General features: G+C 37.6%; 1 protein-coding gene across 12 annotated transcripts in view, besides 1 other annotated feature; it reads right to left on the bottom strand.

Annotated features, from left to right (window-relative positions):
- CDKAL1 (CDKAL1 threonylcarbamoyladenosine tRNA methylthiotransferase) overlaps positions 1-19,374 on the bottom strand; it is a 697,948-nt gene that overhangs the window by 529,621 nt on the left and 148,953 nt on the right. The window lies entirely within an intron of this gene.
- Positions 16,242-16,743: an enhancer, noted in NCBI's record as "NANOG hESC enhancer chr6:20686272-20686773 (GRCh37/hg19 assembly coordinates)". NCBI's record gives its function as "activates a minimal SCP1, AML or CMV promoter by ChIP-STARR-seq in primed H9 embryonic stem cells {active_cell/tissue: H9 hESC(primed)}" and the evidence as "EXISTENCE:reporter gene assay evidence [ECO:0000049][PMID:30033119]".

Below are 19,374 nucleotides of genomic sequence, written 5' to 3'. Positions count from 1 at the left end.
GTTACATTTCCCAAGACCACCCTGGCCGGCCACACCCCATCGTGTGCCTATAAAAACCCCGAGACCCTAGCAGGCCAACACACAAGTGGCTGGACATCATGAGGAACACATCGGCGAAGAAAACACAGGTGGCTGGATATCGAGAGGACGTCCAGAGGGGCACACAACAGACACCAGCAGGCCAGCAGGCCAGCCGGCCATCGACTGGCGGAACGACAAGTTTTGCCTGAGCAGTTGGAAGGCCCAATCCACAAGAAAACCATCTCCCTTCTGGCTCCCCCATCTGCTGAAAGCTACTTCCACTCAATTAAACCTTGCACTCATTCCCCAAGCCCAGGTGTGATCTGATTCTTCCGGTACACCAAGGCAAGAATCCGGGATACAGAAAGCCCTCTGTCCTTGTGACAAGGGAGAGGGTCTAATTCAGCTGGTTAACACAAGCCTATAGACGGAAAGACTAAAAAAGCACCCTGTAACACACGCCTACTGGGGCTTCAGGAGCTGTAAGCATCCACCCTTAGACACTGCCATGGGGTCAGAGCCCCACGACCTGCCCGTCTGTATGCTCCCCTAGAGGTTCGAGCAGTGGGAGACTGAAGAAGTGAGCCACACACACATCACACGCCCTGCGAGGGGGACAAGGGAACCTTTCCCATTTCACTGAGTGCTAAGAGTTTAAACACCAAACAGCACAGGAGTAGGGAAGAAAAGAAGGAAGAAGAGGATCATTTCTTCTCCTTTTCTGAGAAAATTTAATCCCTGGCATCTTTCCGCTTCCTCCTGTCCATGCTAGAAAGGATCCCATTGCTGTCAGCCTCTCCCACCACGGCATCACAGCAGGATCTGCCCTAACTCTCAATCTGCCCAGACCTTTAAAAATGTCTCCATTCCTTTTCTAATCAATCTCTTATCCTTCAAGAAAGCTGATTTCTACTAAAAACAAGAAGAAAAACTAGATGATTAAACTACACATACAAATGGGTAGATTAAAGATCTAGTAAACATTCACAAAACTCCTACACACCAGGTACATAGGATATTTACTAAGGGTGGCTGGGGGAACATAACTCAAAGTTCTGGTAGGTATAATTTCCCTAATGGTGAAGGGGAAAATTGAGGTATTACGTAGAAAAAAAGGGAAAAACCTTAGACAGAGTGGGAGGGGGCAGAAGACATGGGCACACCAAGCCTAACTGTATAAAGGTTCCACAAGCATCCTCCTGAAAGCTGTCTTCTCTCTGCATGTCTCCACTTCTGAGGCACATATCCTCTACTCGAGGGGTCATTAACTCATGTATCTACAGGAAGGTAATAGACATGAAAGTACAACAGGGAATGATAAGGACTGGAGCAAATCAGAGAGTCTAAAAGCAGAGAGCTACTACTTGGTTCCAGCAATAGTACAGTGCAGGCCCAGCACTGCCATTCATCGGTTTTTCCAAGAAAGCTAGAAACACAGATTTTTTAAAATGTGAAATTGTCAAATTTTCAAGACACTGGGCAAGCCAAAAAAAAAAAAAAAAACAACTTCATGTATAGGTGAGATTGAGCCCATAAGTCATCAGAACCCTATCCTTTCTAAACTGCAGCTTTCCAGGGTCGCAACACAGCATGTGGGGATGGAAGCTGCTAGCCGGCTTCTTTATGGACCAGGAACAAATCTGGTGTCCTAAGGTGGAGAACTGCTTAATGGAACCTGAAGGTGATAAAATCTCATCGAAATTTTGTATTATTCTCTACAAAGACCTTGAAAAATACAATTCAGGTATTCGCAAGATATTAAATTAAAACTGCTTTCCTCTTCACTAAAGTCAGATATGCTCCTAAGTCTAAAAATTAAAATGTTTTAGAAACAGATTACATAAAAAGTGTAAAAAAAAAAAAAAACCCAAAAACCTCCAGACCACCCTCCTCAGCTATAACCACTGTATACCATTTGGTGTTGAGTGATTTATTTCAGTCCAAATGTAAATTGATTTTAAAATGCATCTACACTAGTTCCATCTGGTCCTGAAGTCATACAAGAGGTGGCTCAGTGGGCAGTTTTCTTTCTCAATATTCTGTATGTTACTCCCTTTTTGGCAAATATCTAGCCTCAATCAGTAGAATCTTTCTGTAGCAGAAGGTGAATTTCATACCATAAAACAAATCTGAGCTTGCCATGAAATTTAGGCTACTTAACTCAGGTCAGACCTGTCACAGGTCAGGCCTGCCAGCTGCTGTGCAACTTCTGTTCTAGTTTCTGCCCAGGCCTGTAATTATTTACAGTTTTGCACCTGTCAAAATCCTGAAACAATGACTTTCCTTGTTTCTCTAGGTTTATAGAGAGTTAAATGTACTCCTTTTCAAAATTGAACATTTAAGGCACACATGTTAGGGGAGTCACTATCATTCAGTTTAACTTTTATTTATTTTTTTTTTTTTTTTTGAGATGGAGTTTCACTCTTGTTGCCCAGGCTGGAGTGCAATGGTGCAATCTCAGCTCACCGCAACCTCCGGCTCCCAGGTTCAAGTGATTCTCCTGCCTCAGCCTCCTGAGTAGCTGGGATTACAGGCATGTGCCACCATGCCTGGCTCATCAGTTTAACTTTTTAAAAAACAGAATAAAACAGAAGCAAGGTGGAAAAAATAAATTCAGTTTTGATAGTTAGTAAATAAAATATTAAAGTAACTACTCTCCATCTTAATGAACATAAGAATTACTCATGAGGTGTTAAAAAAAAAAAATGCCTAATCCAAAAGCCGGACCTCCACAATCAGAATTTAGAAACGGGGAGGGATGGGTACATTTTTAATATGTCTTCTGAAAAACATGTTTTCAAAAATAACATAATAAACCAAAACACCATCATCTTAAAAGACTGGTTAGTCACTACTGCTACAATTTAGTCAACAATTTGGGAGGCTATCTGTTAAATAACTCAGTAGACAGGTAAAATTAAACTACTAAGTAAATCAAAAGAAGAAAGGTAAATAATGCTGTACATGGTTCTGTGATCTAAATTGACCACTCATTAAGAAATGTAAATGGTCTTCTCGCTACAGCTGATTCTGCCATGCAGAGATTGAGAGCTCCGGCTTGACGAGCTTTTATTCTCCTAAGTTATGCAACTCTATCCAGAAGGTGCATATTTCTTTAAGAAATCAGCAGCCCTGGGTAAACAGGGTGCATCTGGTGAACACATGTCCATGAGCAGGTAAACACATGATTTCAGTAATTACTTCTAACACCATCTGTCAAGCAGGTAGTTCAAAACCTACTCAACAGGAAAGGCAGTTTGAAGTAATTTTTAAGCGAGTATGCTTCTCATCTGCTTAATAAAAATAAAGATCAAAATACAAACCTAGAAACCTGTCTGCCTCTGCCCTAAATTTACCAAGGGCAGAGGCAGACAGGTTCATTCTTGTAACTAAAAAAGATGATAATGCTACACTGCTTAAGAAGCACATGAATCTGATTAATTATCCCCAAAAGAAATTTTCTTATGATTAGAATGGCAGTAATTTATTCATCACGAATCAATAACTAACAAGTCTGGTCTCTGTAATACATTAAAGTGTGTCACCTGTCTGCAAAACCACCTCGCCATTTATTAAGGGATAAACCATTCAGGTGACAAATGTTTTGACATATTGCTCAATATCCTTAACTGGACTTGAAAAACATAAATCCTAATGCAAAAGAACACAGGTCAAGAAAAATATATAGAAACAGAGGAAAAGGGGAAAAATACAATTAAGAATTTTCTGACTTTAAAAAAATGGTTATACAAGAGAGTTTTTAAAACTTATCATTGTAAATTCTGCCTTGATGTGTATCTATGAACCACTGACCTTTTCATTGGTCTGATTTGTATCATTTAAATAGAATAAATTCTACCAACTCTTAAACACCCAAAGTGAGTCACTGACAGGAACACCAAGGGCTGAATTCCCCCAGATAAATATAAATGATTCTTTTAGATTCAGTTCCCTCACCTTATCTTTACCACAATTTTTACCATGACAAGACTGACTCCTTTAAATTTTACCTTCTTACTCTTCCCGTCTCTCCATTGTGATACTGAAATATTAAAAATAAAGTTGTTTAGTAGGTATCCCTGATATGCTGTGATGAGAATGGCACTTCACCACCGTGGCCTTCCCCCAAAAGTCCATAACTCTCAACATGAGAAAATTATCAAACAAACCCAAACTGAGGGGCATTCTACAAAACAGCTGACCAGCCCAAAACTGCCAAGGATCAAAAACAAAGATAATCTGAGAAACTGTCACAGACTAGAGAAGACTAAGACATGATAAGCGCAACATAGTACCCTGGATGAAATACTGGAACAGAAAAAGGACTTTAGGGGAAAACTAGTGAAATCTGAATAAAATGTGGCATTGAGTTAACGGGAATGTACCAATGTTAATTTCTTGGTTGTGAGAAATGTAGCATAATAATGTAGGATGTTATTTAACAACAGTGAGAAACTGGGTAAGAGGTTTCTTTGCAACTTTTTTGCAACTTTTCTGTAAGTTGAAGATTATTCTAAAATCAAAACGTTGTCTAAAATTTTGTTCAGTGGGGATTTTGAATGTTCATTCAACCAAAATTCATTGACTAGCCACTATGTTACAGACAGACACACTGCAATACACAGGAAACCTTACCATAAGACAAAGTCAATGTGAATACATTGGAACATCACAAAACTGACTAAAACCCACCATTGGTAGGAAAATAATTAAAAGGATTTGCGTATAAAACAAGGTGCCTCACTGATATAAAGCATATAAATTATCTCCTGTTACAATGTCTGTAGTTACTTTAAAATACTTGTGCATAAAGAATGAGATGCACGTAACTCAAACTTCAGATCTAGGGGCAATCAATTACTTCAGTCAAAAAGACAAAGCCCAGGACACTCTCATCAGAAACCCATACCAGGAGATAGCAATGATTACTAGGCATCTTTGTGTAGCAGAATGGGGCCTGAGTCTTGTAGAAAAGTAGCTCACTCGTCTGAAACTTGTTTGGCAGAAACTAACCATTATGAATGACAAAAGTTACCTATGTCATTTCATGACAGTCCCTACAGAAACATTTTCTAATTTTGCATCCATGGGTGGCCTTCCAGAAATCCAATTGAAACGGTATGAAAACTTTTGCCATGTTTATGAATGTGCTTCCTTTTGGTGGACAGGATGTATATGGCTTTTATCAGATTATTAAAATGGTCTGTACCTCAAAAATAATCAAGAACCAGAGTCCTGAAAAAATCAAGTCCACCAATGATTTTTTTCTTAATTAAGTTTTTGCTTAAATTATACAATGTATATGTTCCCAAAAAAAGTGGCCTTCTCTTTTGATCTAAATTATCACATTATTATCACATTATCTTTCAAAAACAGATAAAATCTTAACTAGTAGGAGATACAATTTCCTTGACATTTCAAACATCTCACCAAAAGCAGAAACCAAAACTTTAAGAAGCCATTATTTTCCAACAATGATGCTCTATGCATTTTTTAATTTGAAACCATTTTACCTAGAAATACTAATGGTTTGCTCATCTCAATAAAGTTTGTTTTAAAAAATCAGTTTATTTCAGTCATGTTTTACAGGATCTTCACACTAGTTTTTGCATGACATCTTGTAGTTTCCAGTACATCCAGCCCTAGAAAAGAACAGCCAATTTTCTTCCTTTTGCATCTCTCTAATGATTTTTTTCATTTTGAATGAAATAGAACAAGGAAATATCATTCTATATAGTGACCAGCAATGCTCCCAAAGGTCAGATTATCACTCAGTAGTGAAGTATGTGGTAAAGCAACACATAGGATTTTTTTTAATCTTCGTGAGCCAATGTGGAAAATGCTGAAATTCATTACAAGTGAACATGATGAAAAATGACTACCGAACACGTCATACAAAACATTCTTCAACACATACTGTTTGCATCAAGTCCTAACTGGGGAAAGCTGGAAAGAAATGAGCAGCAAACAGGGTCATAGGCTACTTGTAAAAAGTTAATGAAAGATTTACTCAGCTTTACTTCAAATTCTATATAATTACAAGCTGTGATTCTTATTCTACCATACTACCTTCCAATTTAACACAACTTACAAAGAATTAATTTTTAGCAATACCTGGTAAAATTTTAAATATTTTTGTTAAAATACTTTTTAAAAGCTATTAAAAATACAAACAGTTTTTTGTTGTTGTTTGTTGCAAATCCAAGCATAAACCCATGGACAGAGATAAAAAGAAATTCAAAATAAAAAGTCTGTATTCTAGTTTTACACAACCAAAGGAAATTGTCTTTGCTAACTGTTAGGCTAACTTCTAATTTTTTTCTAAAGAATGGATTTCATTTCCTTCACTAAATATTTTCAGGTGCTCTTAGCTACCTAATTTCTTCAAAAGTTCACAGTCTAACCCTAAAAGCTCTGGAGCCCTGGAACCTTAGGAGTGCCCAGTAACACGAAATTCTATTTGGTAACTGCCACTGAGCAATATAAAAATGTGGTGGGAAAGTTGACTTGGTTTTTAGACGACTTCTTAAAATCAGTCTTTATTAAAAGGATGAGGGCTCATATTTCTGGGGTCTCCCCATGCTTTGCTCTCCTATGCCTAGCAGGCCAATGTGGAATGCCTTTGGGACAACAGCTAAGAGAAGAAATGCAAATGTAACTGGTAACTTAAGCCATGCATTCAAGAAATGTGGCAATGGCTTTTACAAATCTATTTTTTAAATATCAGTGAAATAGAAAGGCGACTGATATAAAGGAATCTGGAACAGTCAAATTCAGAGAGGCAGAAAGTAGAATCGTCGTTACCAGGGATTGGAAGAAAGGAGGAATGGGGAGTTACTGTTTCATGGGTACAGAGTTTTAGTTTGGATAATGAAAAAACTCTGCAGACAAATCATGGTAATGGTTACATAACAATGTGAATATACTTATTGACACTGAACTATACGCTTAAATAATGATTAAATGGTAAAAATGGATAAAATGTTAAATTTTATATTATGTATATTTTACTACAATTAACAAAAAAATCAATAAAAACCAGAATGGCTGCCTTCAACATTCTGCAGAATGGCTGACAATCCAGAGTATATCTGCCTGGCCAAAGAAAAAAAGGAATAAAACAAAAGAATGATGGAAGTAGCAGGAACAGATCCATGCCAAGCATGAAGAAACTAGTGGTGCAAATGAATTACCAGACATGAACAAGCAGAAGCTCTCTAGTAATGTATAAATATCACTTCTTCCTGTTATAACTTGATATCTGGAGAAAATGATGTGTATTTCTCTAAAAGATAAAATGATATGAGAAAATGATGTCCATCCAGAGCATCTAGCTGGATCTCTAACCTAAGCAGTCCTAAAGAATGATTTTGATGGTGAGACCTTCCCCTGAGTGTAACAAAAAGAGAGGCTACATATGGCAGACATCCAACAAATAATAAACTATCAGTGGCTGATGGACCAAAAGCCCTAGATATTTTTTAGGAAATAATTCTGGATACTCCCATCAGCGCTAAAGTTTGTTTAGAAGCATGAGAAAATCCAGTTCATAAGGCCATAGACAACTTGTTTTTCCCAGAAAAACACAGTCTTAAAATATGTATACTAGATCTACATCTTTCAGAATTGCTGGCTGGAAAAGCAGCAGCACTGCATTAAATAGGGACTGTCTCAGTCAGTCTGTGTCACTATAAAGGAATAGTTGAATGTGGGTAGTTTATAAAGAAAAGAGGTTTGTTTGGTTCATAGTTCTGCAGGCTGTACAAGGCCCATGGCACCAGAATCTGCACTCATGGTGGAAGGGGAAGGGGAGTCAGTGTGTGCAGGGGTCACAGGGCAAGAGAGATGTGGGGGTACCAGGCTGTTTTTAACCACTAGCTCTCTCCAGAACTAAGACAGCAAGAACCCACTCATTACTGTGAGGACTGTAGGGAGCTACTGACCATGACCCAAACACCTCCATTTGGCCCCTCCTCCAACATTAGGAACCAAATTTCAACATGAGGTTTGGAGAATCAAATATTCAAACAACAGCAGGGACTTAAAAACATTTCCTACTTTTTCACTGAGGGGGAAAGCAGTGACAAAGGCCTTCATTCTGGTGTTTACGGTATATATGTGGTCATCCTATCTCTCATCACTTTCGTGGGCTATTTGGTGAAAGAAATGGGTGGGACTCCTTGAGCCCTGGCATTAATGTAACTACCTATTACCCATGCTGAGTTGATGCCTCATAACAAGATTAATACAGACATGGACAATATGCAAGCTGTGGGAGTAGAACCTTCTCTACGCAACTCAAAAAAATGACATCCTGATGCACAGGTAGAGATGCCCATTCTTCTCCTTCTGTGGAACCAAAGGGGGTCTCCCTAGATCCAGAGTAGAACACTGTGACTTTAATAAAAGTAACTGGCAGGGGCCAGGCACAGTGGCTCATGCCTGTAATCTCAGCACTTTGGGAGGCCGAGGCAGGAGGACTGCTTGAGCCCAGGAGTTTGAGATCCAGCCTGGGCAACATAGTGAAACCCTGTCTCTACAAAAAATACGTTTGTTTGTTTGCTTGTTTGTTTGTTTGTTTGTTTGTTTATAAAGATAGTTATAAAACTCCACATAAACTTGGAGGTTAAGTAACAAACTGAGAACACTTCTATACCAACCACCTACATACACACACACACACACACACACACACACACATACACACACACACACACACAAAGTTAGCCGGGTGTGTTAGTGTGTGCCAGTGGTCCCAGCTCCTCGGGAGGCTGAAGTGGGAGGATCCTCTGAGCCTGGGAGATCGAGGTTGCAGTGAGCCATGATCATGTCACTGCACTCCAGCTTGGGTGACACAGAGAGATCTTGTCTTAAAAAAAAAAAAAAAGTAGCTGGCAAGTTCTCAAGAAGACCCATGCCAAGCATGACTCCTATCAGTTACTTGTTAATTAAACTAAGAACTTTTCTGAGTGAAGCAATCTCAAGGTCAAGTTTAACCAGGTCTTATGAAAGCTTTTAGTATTACTTCAGTTATTCTCATTAAGTGGATAAGACATGACAAGGAAAGGCAAAAGTATTTCTGTGGTCTCAACTTTCAGAAAGCCATAGGCGAGAAAGCAAGGCTGCTGCTGTGTGCAGTGCTAGGCATTGGCTAATATAAAGTATATTAACTAAAAAGAACTAAATATAGGACATTTGTCCCTGAAAGAAACATATCTATCTGGAAATAGAATTCTGTCATTTGCCCTGTTTTGAGGGAAGGGAGAAAGTAACTGTTCTTCTCCCTCTTGATAAAATGCACACAAAAAGTCCAGACAACTGACAGTTCTATAAGTTTGGTCTCAGAGGATTTCAGAGTCCTGGAATTGAATAAAAGAATTATCTTATTTCAACTGGGCAAATTATCAGAAATGGTTACAAGTTTCAACAATGGTTAGTATTTCTGACTAAGCAGAAAGGGCAATAAAAATTTCTACACATTAAATATTTGAAAAGGAAACAAAGATGGAAGAAAAAAGTGAGAGGCCTTCTTAGACTGTGAAGAACCACCCACCACAGAGAGAGCTGAGATCCTGTCCCTTACTCATGTGCAAGCCCCAACTGTCTTTTTTTTTTTTTTTTTTTTTTTTTTTTGAGACAGAGTCTCGCTTTGTTGCCCAGGCTGGAGTGCAGTGGCGCAACCTCGGCTCACTGCAAGCTCTGCCTCCCAGGTTCACGCCATTCTCCTGCCTCAGCCTCCCGAGTAGCTGGGACTATTGGCACCTGCCACCATGCCCGGCTAATTTTTTGTATTTTTTTTTAGTAGAGATTGGGTTTCACCGTGTTAGCCAGGATGGTCTCGATCTCCTCACGTCGTGATCCACCCACCTCGGCCTCCCAAAGTGCTGGGATTACAAGTGTGAGCCACCGCACCCGGCCACAACTGTCTTTTAACTTTACTACATGACAATGCTCATTTTCTCTACATTGTGACCACTCAAAGCACTGGCTTACCAAATTTTTCCAGTAGGTTAGGGTTTTTTTTTAATGTTCTGGGCTGATAAAGAAAAATATTAAATGAAGCCTCAAAAGATAATATTTTCCAGAAAAAAAGTACAAAACTGATAATTACTGTTACTTTCCATAGCTGATATTCCCCACCATCAAGCTTTCTACCATGATTTCACTTTGGTTTTTGTGATTTTGAACCACAAGAATCACAAAATTTCAGAGTTCTAGAAATAATTAACCCCCTCTGTGACCCAGAAGAAAATTCTGTGGAATCCCAAATCAAAGCCCAGAATGGTTTTAAACATTATTGTCAAAGCATATAAAAATGAAGAAAACCAGAGATAATTACTATCATTTCACTTATTGATTAGTAGTAGGCAGAATTCACAAGATTTTATGATGTTTGGAGCTCCCAACAGAAAGCTGACTAAAACAGTTATAAAATTCCACATTAACTTGGAGGTTGAGTAACAAACTGAGAACACTTCTCTACCAATCATCTCTAAATCTTTAGTCATTTTGACATGTTTAACTTCAGTTTAAAATCCTGGCAAAGAAATAGTGAGAATTGCCCTTGACTTTATGCCCTTCATATGTACTCTATTAAGCCTGATTTACTCAGAGGGGGGAGAAAAACACTCCAATTGGTAGATAGTAATCTTATGTAAATGTCAAAATGTCTTAGTATTCAGGGTAAGCAAAAGCTGCCATGCCTATACAACAAATCCTATAAGACAAAAGTTCTACAAAATTTTTAAACTGCACACTGCGAAAACTTAAAAATTAAAAACTTTTGTGCATACCACCAAATTTATGTATATTTGCTTATAAATTATATACATACTTTACTGTAGAAAAATTGGTTGTGTATATTACATAACATATATAAAATAGAAATGAAAAAGAATGGGAAATAAAAAAGAATGAAATAAAAATGAAGTTTTTAATATTTTCTTCTCACCCAACTCCAAATCTAGCCTAGGGATATGTACATCCCACTATGGAGACAACTACAAGAAAAGACAAGGAAGGAGACTGAGACGCATAATGAGCTTTCTTTCACAATGCTTTGGAGTCCTCTCTAAATTATGTAAGCATTGACAACTGAAAACCTTCTCAAACTCGGGAGAGCTGTTTTTAGCCCTTTCTCAATTATCCTCACCTCCCTGAGAGGATACACGGTAAGAGAGGAGGCAACAAGATGAAACAGCCAGCATGGAGACCTCTGGTTAATAAGAAAATAAGGCCTCCTCTAATAAGGAAGTTTAATAAAACTACAGACTAAATTAAGTGTACATATCCACTCTGCCAGCGATGACTTTCACTTAGCCAGGCACTCATGCTCGCCTTGCCTCAGACCATTACTCGGTGTAAGCTCTATTATCAATCACCCTCTCCAACATCACCAAGCAGAAGGCAGGCTGGCCCCACCATGCCATCTGTACACACACCTGCTCTCAGCAGCAGTCGCTGCTCAGGGTCTGCCGGCCCAGAGATGCCCAGGCCCAGAGGGCACCACTGTGAATTCATATTTTCTGCAGGAACTAGTCCAAAGATTTGGGAAGAAAAACTGGAAAGAGCCAAAGGCAAGAGACAGGACAATGAATGGCCGTTTACAAATGGCAGCCACATAATCTCCTGCGGGGTGTTTGTGGGGTCGTGGTCATAAAGTGTTTACCTACTCATAGTCCCTAAGACCTTCGAAGTCATTATTGCCTATTACCTGTAATAATACCTGCTTTTCTAAAAATCTACCAAAATAGTATTGTTGCATGCAATACATGTTTCATTTTAAAAGTATATTCACCACCATATAAGCAAAATAATTAGCATATCAGAATCTTAATTTTTTGTTTTTCCTATTTACAGTAATAAAGTCCCAAGCAGTCAGTAGTGGTACATAAGAATATTACTCAATGAACTCACATGACATCTGTAAAATCCGCTCTCAAGATCTGAAAGTTATATTCATTTTTTATCAGTTTTTATGAACATGGTAAAGTAGTCTTGACTTCCACAGTTCCCTTATAGCTAATTCTTAATATACAAGAAACTCATATAAGTATACGTGAAAAACATGAAGTCTATAATAAAGACAATATAAATAGTAAATAATCAAAAAAATATAAAAAAAATTCTATTTTGTTTATAATCAAAGAAAATATATTAAAACAATGAGCTGTCATCCCAATCTCCATTAAATTAGCAAAACTAAAATTGGAAATACTAAAAGCACAAGTGGCAGGGGTGTGTCTCCCTCATTCTCACACACTGCGGTAGTAAGGCTAATGGATATCTCTTCTCTAGAGAACAGTGTTGAAAAATATGTCTGGAGTTCGTAAAATGCTCATTCTGTGACCGAAAATTCCACCTTCATCAACTAGATCTACATTTTTTAAAATGCAATACCAAAAAAGAAGGTAAAGACTTACACCCAAAGATGTTCATTTATTTGACAGTTATAATACATTTATACTACTGAATAAAAAATTGGATAAAATCTAAGTACTCAGCCAAAAAATATATACAACTTATAGTATATCCATAAAATGAAATATTACATAGCCATTTAAAAAATTACCTCATTAAACACATGTGTTTTTTAAAAAGTAGGATACAAAAATATGTACGATATAATTTCATGTAAGTAAAAGAGAATCCAATACAGAAAAAAGATTGGCAAGTCATATGCTAGCATGTTAACTATGGTAACCATTACACAAGGAGATACAGGTGACTTTTAAATTGTATTTTCCAAATGGTCTACAATGTGAAAGTTATTTTTCATAATTGGGAGGCAAAATGATTTTAAAAATCCATGGATTAACAAACAATGAAATTTCAAAAAGTTAGCTATTCTGTAACACTAAGACCACCATAAGCCTTATACAATAAAAACAGAATTTCTTATCATTCAATTCTGAATGATTCTGAAATGTTCTTTTTGCAGGGAGGGGTAAATGGCACCCATTCATTGCAATTAAATACCTCTCTATTTTTTTGGTCCATTTTTCCATAAAGAAAATTAGAGCACAGATACATGAAATTTCTTTGAAAACCACAACATAAACCTTTAACAAGTAACAACCAGTAATAACAAAAACACCATTTACCTCTAGGTGGAAATTATATATAATACTCATGAAATGAACATTACAGTTTTGCCCCTAAAAATGGTTGTGGGGACTTCAGGTTTCCAGTTCAGCATCTGAGAAGCTTGGAAGTTGCTATTCCATCCTACCAACAAGTGAAAAAACTAAACAAACTAACAAATCATTCTTTTTAGATATGTAAGAGAATTGAGGTCACCAGGCAAATCACTGCCCCTAATATTGGAGACACCAACTGGCAGATACCAAAAATCACAATTTGCCTGAGCAGAAAACCACAAACCTCCACGGGAACGAGTGTTAGGGTAGGAAAATCTAAACTGTAATTTATGTATTGCTGGAGGCTCAGTGTGGACAACTTTTAGAGTAAAGTTAAAAACTCCAGGATGACTCAGTCACTGGGGCCCCATACTTGCGTGAATTTTTACCTCCAGGAGCTTGACCTGGTTCTCACAGTGAATACTGGAGCAAAATCCCCTCATGCTTCCAGTAGGGGAAAGGTAAAAGAAACTATATGGAAACTCACCAGAGTACTCTGTTCTTAAAGTCTGCTCTCAGGAAAAACTAGTTAACTACAGCCTAACCTGCTGGGGTGTCACCAGAGCCTAAATGACCTGGGTGAAAACAAATGCCCAGCTCCAGCCAAGTCTAGCTTTCTAGTCCCTCCTGAAGGGGAGAGGACTAAGAAGAACTTGTGAGGATCACAGTAAGCACAGGCTTACTAAAGGACTGAGACCTAATCAGTGGATTACAGAACACTCCCTCTCCCCCAACACCTTAATACCACATCACTGAAGACCTATTTATACCAGTTTCTGTTTCTCAGTACTTCGTGTCTAGATAGCAAGAAAAAAGTGCAAGGTGTACTAAAAGCATCAAAGACAATTTGAAGAGACAGCAAGAATCAGAACCAGACTCAGATATGGCAGAATGTGGGAATTATCAGACTGGGAATTTAAAACAACAATGATTAACATGCTATGGGTGCCAATGGAAAAAATGGACAGCATGTAAGAAAAGAAGGGCAATGTAAACAGACAAAAAGAAATTCTAAAACAGAACAAAAAACATATAAGAGAAATCAAAAACACTAACGGAAATGAAGAATGACTTAGACAAGCTTACTAGTAGACTAGACATGGCTGAGCAAAGACTCTCTCTGAGCTTGAAGATATCACAATAGAAATGTACAAAACTGAAAAGCACAAAGAAAAAAGACTAAAAACAAAAAAAAAACGAAAGAAACCTCTCAACAGAATATTCAAGAACAATGAGATGATTACAAAAGGTGTAACATACATGTGATAGAATACTAGAAGCGGAAGTAGAAGATAAAGGAACAGCAGAAATATACAGAGCAGTAATCACTGAAAATTTCCCTAACTTTATGCCACATACCAATCAAAAGATTCAGGAGACTGTGAATGCCAAGCAGGATAAAAACCAAAAAAACTATACCTATGCATGACATATGCAAACTACAGAAAGTCAAAGATAAAGAAAAAAACCTGAAAGAAGCCAGAGGTGGGGGGTGAGGGGGGAATAACCCTTAGCTAGACAGAAGCAAAGATAAGAATTACATTTTACTTCTGCTAGAAACCATACAAGCGAGTGGTAAAGTAAAATAAAGTGTTGATAAAAAAAAAGAAAAAACAACAACATAGAATTCTGTAACCCGCAAAATCATTCTTCAAAAGTGAAGGAAAAATACTTTCTCAAACAAACAAAAATTGAGAGATTTTTTTGCCAGTAGATCTACCTTGCAAGAAATTAAAAAAAAAAATCCTTTACATAGGATAAAAATGATGTAGGTCAGAAATTTGGATCTAGAGAAAGAAGCAGGGCAAGGTGGCTCATGCCTATAATCCTAGCACTATGGTAGGCAGAGGCAGACAGATCACTTGAGCCCAGGAGCTCAAGACCAGCCTGGGCAACATGGCAAAATCCCCTCTCTACCAAAAATAGAAAAATTAGCTGCATGTGGTGGTGAGTGCCTACAGTCCCAGTTACTCAGGAGGATCACCCGTGCCTAGGAGGTCGAGGCTGCAGTGAGCTGTGACCATGCACTCCAGCCTGTGTGACAGAGTAAGACCCCACCTCAAAAAACAAAATAAAATAAAATATGAAAAACAAAGAAAAGAAAAAAAGATTGATAAAAGAATAAAAGTAAAATAACTTTTTAATTTTCTTATCCCTGATTGATCTAACAAATCACAAATTTCATAACCCAGATGAAATGAACCAAATCTTGAAAAACAATCTACAAAACTCATGTAAGAAGAAAAAGACGATGTGAATAGGCCTATATCTATTAAATAAATTGAATCAATAATTAGCAACATTCTAAAACAGAAAGCACCAGGCCCAGATTGGTTCACTGGTGAATGTTACCATATTTTTTTTAATTATGACAATTTTCCATAACTTTTTCAGAAATTAGAATCAAGAGGAAATACTTCCTAACTCATTCTGAGGTCAGCATTATCCTAATACCAAAACCACACAAAGACAACACAAGAAAACTATTGACCAATATTTATCATGAACATAGATATAAAATCATCCATAGAAAATCAAATATAACAATGTATAAAAAGAATTATACACCATGACTAACTGGGATTTACCTCTGATTGCATGGCTGGTTCAACATTTGAAAATCAATTAATGTAATTCATCACATCAACAGGCTAAAGAAGAAAAATCACATAATCATAGCAATAGATTTTTCTGCATCTATTGACAGACACACTTGACAAAATCCAAAACCCATTCATGATAAAAGATCTCAGTGAACGAGATATAGAGTAACTTCAACTAGTTAAAAAGACTACAAAAATCTATAGCTAACATCATACTTAACGGTGAGAAACTCGAAGCTTTCCCACTAAAATCACGAACAAAGACAAAAATGTCCCCTCACCACTCCTTTTCAATATCATACTGGATGTCCTAGTTCAGTGGCCCCCAACCGTTTTGGCACGAGGGAAAGGTAATTTTTCCACAGATTGGGTGGGAGATGGTTTCAGAATGATTCAAGCGCATTACATTTATTGTGCACTTTATTTCTATTATTACATTGTAATATATAATGAAATAGTTACACAACTCACCATAATATAAAATCAGTGCGAGCCCTGAGCTTGTTTTCTTGCAACTACAAGGTCCCATCTGGGGGTGATGGGAGACAGTGACAGATCATCAGGCAACCTGGATACCTCACATGCACAGTTCCCAATAGGGTTCGTGCTCCTGTGAGAATCTAATGCTGCCCCTGATCTGACAGGAGGCGGAGCTCAGGTGGTAATGCAAGCAAGGGGGAGCAGCTGTAAACACAGATGAAGCTTGGCTCACTCACCCACCGCTCACCTCCTGCTATGCGGCCTGGTTCCTAACAAGCCACAGACCAGTACCAGTTCATGGCCCAGGGGTTGGGGACCCTGTCCTAGTTAATACAAGACAAGAAAAAGAAATAATAGGTATATTGATTGGGAAGGAAGAAACAAAACTGTCTTTGTTCGCAGATGAAATAAATGTCTGCATAAAACACTCAAGAGTATTGGCAAAAAAAAAAAAAACCTTAAAACAAATAAGCTATTTAGCAAGGTTTCAGGATACATAATTAATATATAAAAGTCAACTGCTTTTCCAAATACCAGCAATGAACAAGAGGAATTTGAAATTTACAACAATACCATTTACATTAGCACCTCCCAAAATGAAGGAATAACCCTAACAAAATAGGTACATGATCTATAGAAAATAAACTACAAGAGCCAGGCTTGATGGCTCATGCCTGTAATCCTAGAACTTTGGGAGGCCAAGGTGAGAGGATCACTTGAACTCAGAAGTTCAAGAGCAGACTGAGCAACAAAGGGAGACCTCATCTCTATAAAAACGTTTTAAGAACTAGCAGACTGTGATGGTGTGTGCCTATGGTTCTAGCAAAAATAAAATAAAATTTTTTAAAAAACTAAAAAAACTCTAATGAATGAAATCAAAGAACTAAATAAATGAAGAGATATTCCATATTTAGGATAGGAAGCCTCAATATTGTAAAAATGTCAGTTCTTTCCAACTTGATCTATAGATTCAATGCAATCCCTATCAAAATCCCAGCAAGTTATTTTGTGGATATCAACAAAGTGATTAGAAAGCTTACATGGCAAGGCAAAAGACCTAGAATAGCCAACATAATATTAAAAGAGAAGAATAAAGTCAGAAGGATGACACTACTCAACTTTAAGGCTTTCTGCAAAGCAACAATAATCAAGACAATGTACTACTGATGAAAGAACAGACAAACAGATCAATGGAACAGAACAAAGAGCCCAGAAATAGACCCACAAAAATACAATCATCGGATCTTTGACCAAGGAGCGAAAGCAATATGATGGTACAAAGACCATCTTCAAAAAACGGTGGTAGAACAACTGGACATCCACATGCTAAAAAAACAAATCTAAACACAGACCTTACATTCTTGACAAAAATTAGATCGAAATGGCTCAGACCTCAATGTAAAACATAAAACTACAGAACTCCTGGGAGATAACATAGGAGAAAATCTAGATGCCCTTAGGTTTGACAATGACTTTTTAGATATTACACAAAAGGCACACTCCATGAACACAAGAATCAATAAACTGGATTTCATTAAAATTATAAAATTTTGCTCTGCAAAAGATATTGTCAAGAAAATAAAAAGCAATAAAGAAAATACTTGCAAAAGATATGTCTGATAAAGATCTATAATCCAAAATACATGAAGAAATATTAAAACTCAACAATAAGAAAACAATCTGATTAAAAAATGGGGTAAAGCCCTTGACAGACACCTCTCCAAAGAAGACATGCAAACGGTAAATAAGCATATAAAAATATGCTCCACATCATATGTCATCAGGAAAATGCAAATTAAAGCAATGAGATACCACTACGAACCTCTTACAATGGCCAAATCCAGAACACTGCTAACACCAAATGTTGGCAAGGATGCGGAGCAACAGGAACTCTCATTCATTGTGGATACAAATGCAAAATGATACAGTCACTTGGAAGACAGTTTGACAGAATCTGAACATACTCTGAAACTAAACATATCTTATCAAAAGATCTAGCAATTACCTTCCTTTTGCCCTCCCAGAAGAGTTGACAACTTATGTCCATATAAAAACTGCACACAATGTTTATAGCAGCTTTATTCATTTTTTCTTTGTTTGAGACAGAGACTCACTCTGACACCAAGGCTGGAGTGCAGTGACACGATCTTGGCTCACTGCAACCTCCGCCTCCTGGACTCAAGTGATTCTCATGCCTCAGCCTCCTAAGTAGCTGGGAATACAGGCACATGCCACCACGCCCAGCTAATTTTTGTATTTTTAGTAGAGACAGGGTTTTGCCATGTTGGCCAGGCTGGTCTCAAACTCCTGACCTCAAGCGACCCACCCACCTTGGCCTCCCAAAGTGCGGGGATTACAGGCATGAGCCAACACACCTGGCCTAAAGCAGCTTTATTCATAATTGCCAAAACTTAGAAACAACCAAGATGTCCTTCAGTAAGTGAATGGATAAACTGTTGTACATTCTGACAATGAAATATTATTCAGCACTAAAAAATGGGCCATCAAGACGCGAAAAGATATAGAGGAAACTTAAGTGCATATTACTAAGTGAAAGGAACCCATCCAAAAAAGCTACAAATTATATGACTCCCACTATCTGATATCTGGGGAAATATAAAACAGTGGAGACAATCAAAACATCAGTGGATGCTAAGAGTTTGGGATGAATAAGCAGGGCAAAGATTTTAAGGGCAGTGAAATTACTCTGTATGATACAATAATGGTGGATACATGTCATTATTCATTTGTCAAAATCCATAGAAAATACCATACCAAAAGTCAACTTTAATGTAAACTACATTCTCTGGGTGATTGATAATGATGTGTCAACGTAGGTTCATCAGTTGTAACAAATGTACCATTCTGATGGGGGATACTGATCATGGGAGAGGCTGCAGATATGTGGGGGCAGGGGATATATGGAACATCTCTGTACCTTCCTCTCAATTTTGCTGTGAATCTAAACCTGCTCTAAAAAATAAAATCTATTTTAAAAAATCACTGTGAGAGAAATAAAAGAATCATTTTGTTAATTCCGATTTTGAAGAGGATAAGACACTATCAATAAGTAATTTTCTGCTAATGAATCTCTCAATATAAGTAAAGCCAAGACTTTTAAACCAAATGCT

This window comes from Homo sapiens, chromosome 6 (assembly GCF_000001405.40).
Source record: "Homo sapiens chromosome 6, GRCh38.p14 Primary Assembly".
Classification (NCBI taxonomy): Eukaryota; Metazoa; Chordata; class Mammalia; order Primates; family Hominidae; genus Homo; species Homo sapiens.
This window is presented reverse-complemented; position numbering and strand designations above follow the sequence as displayed.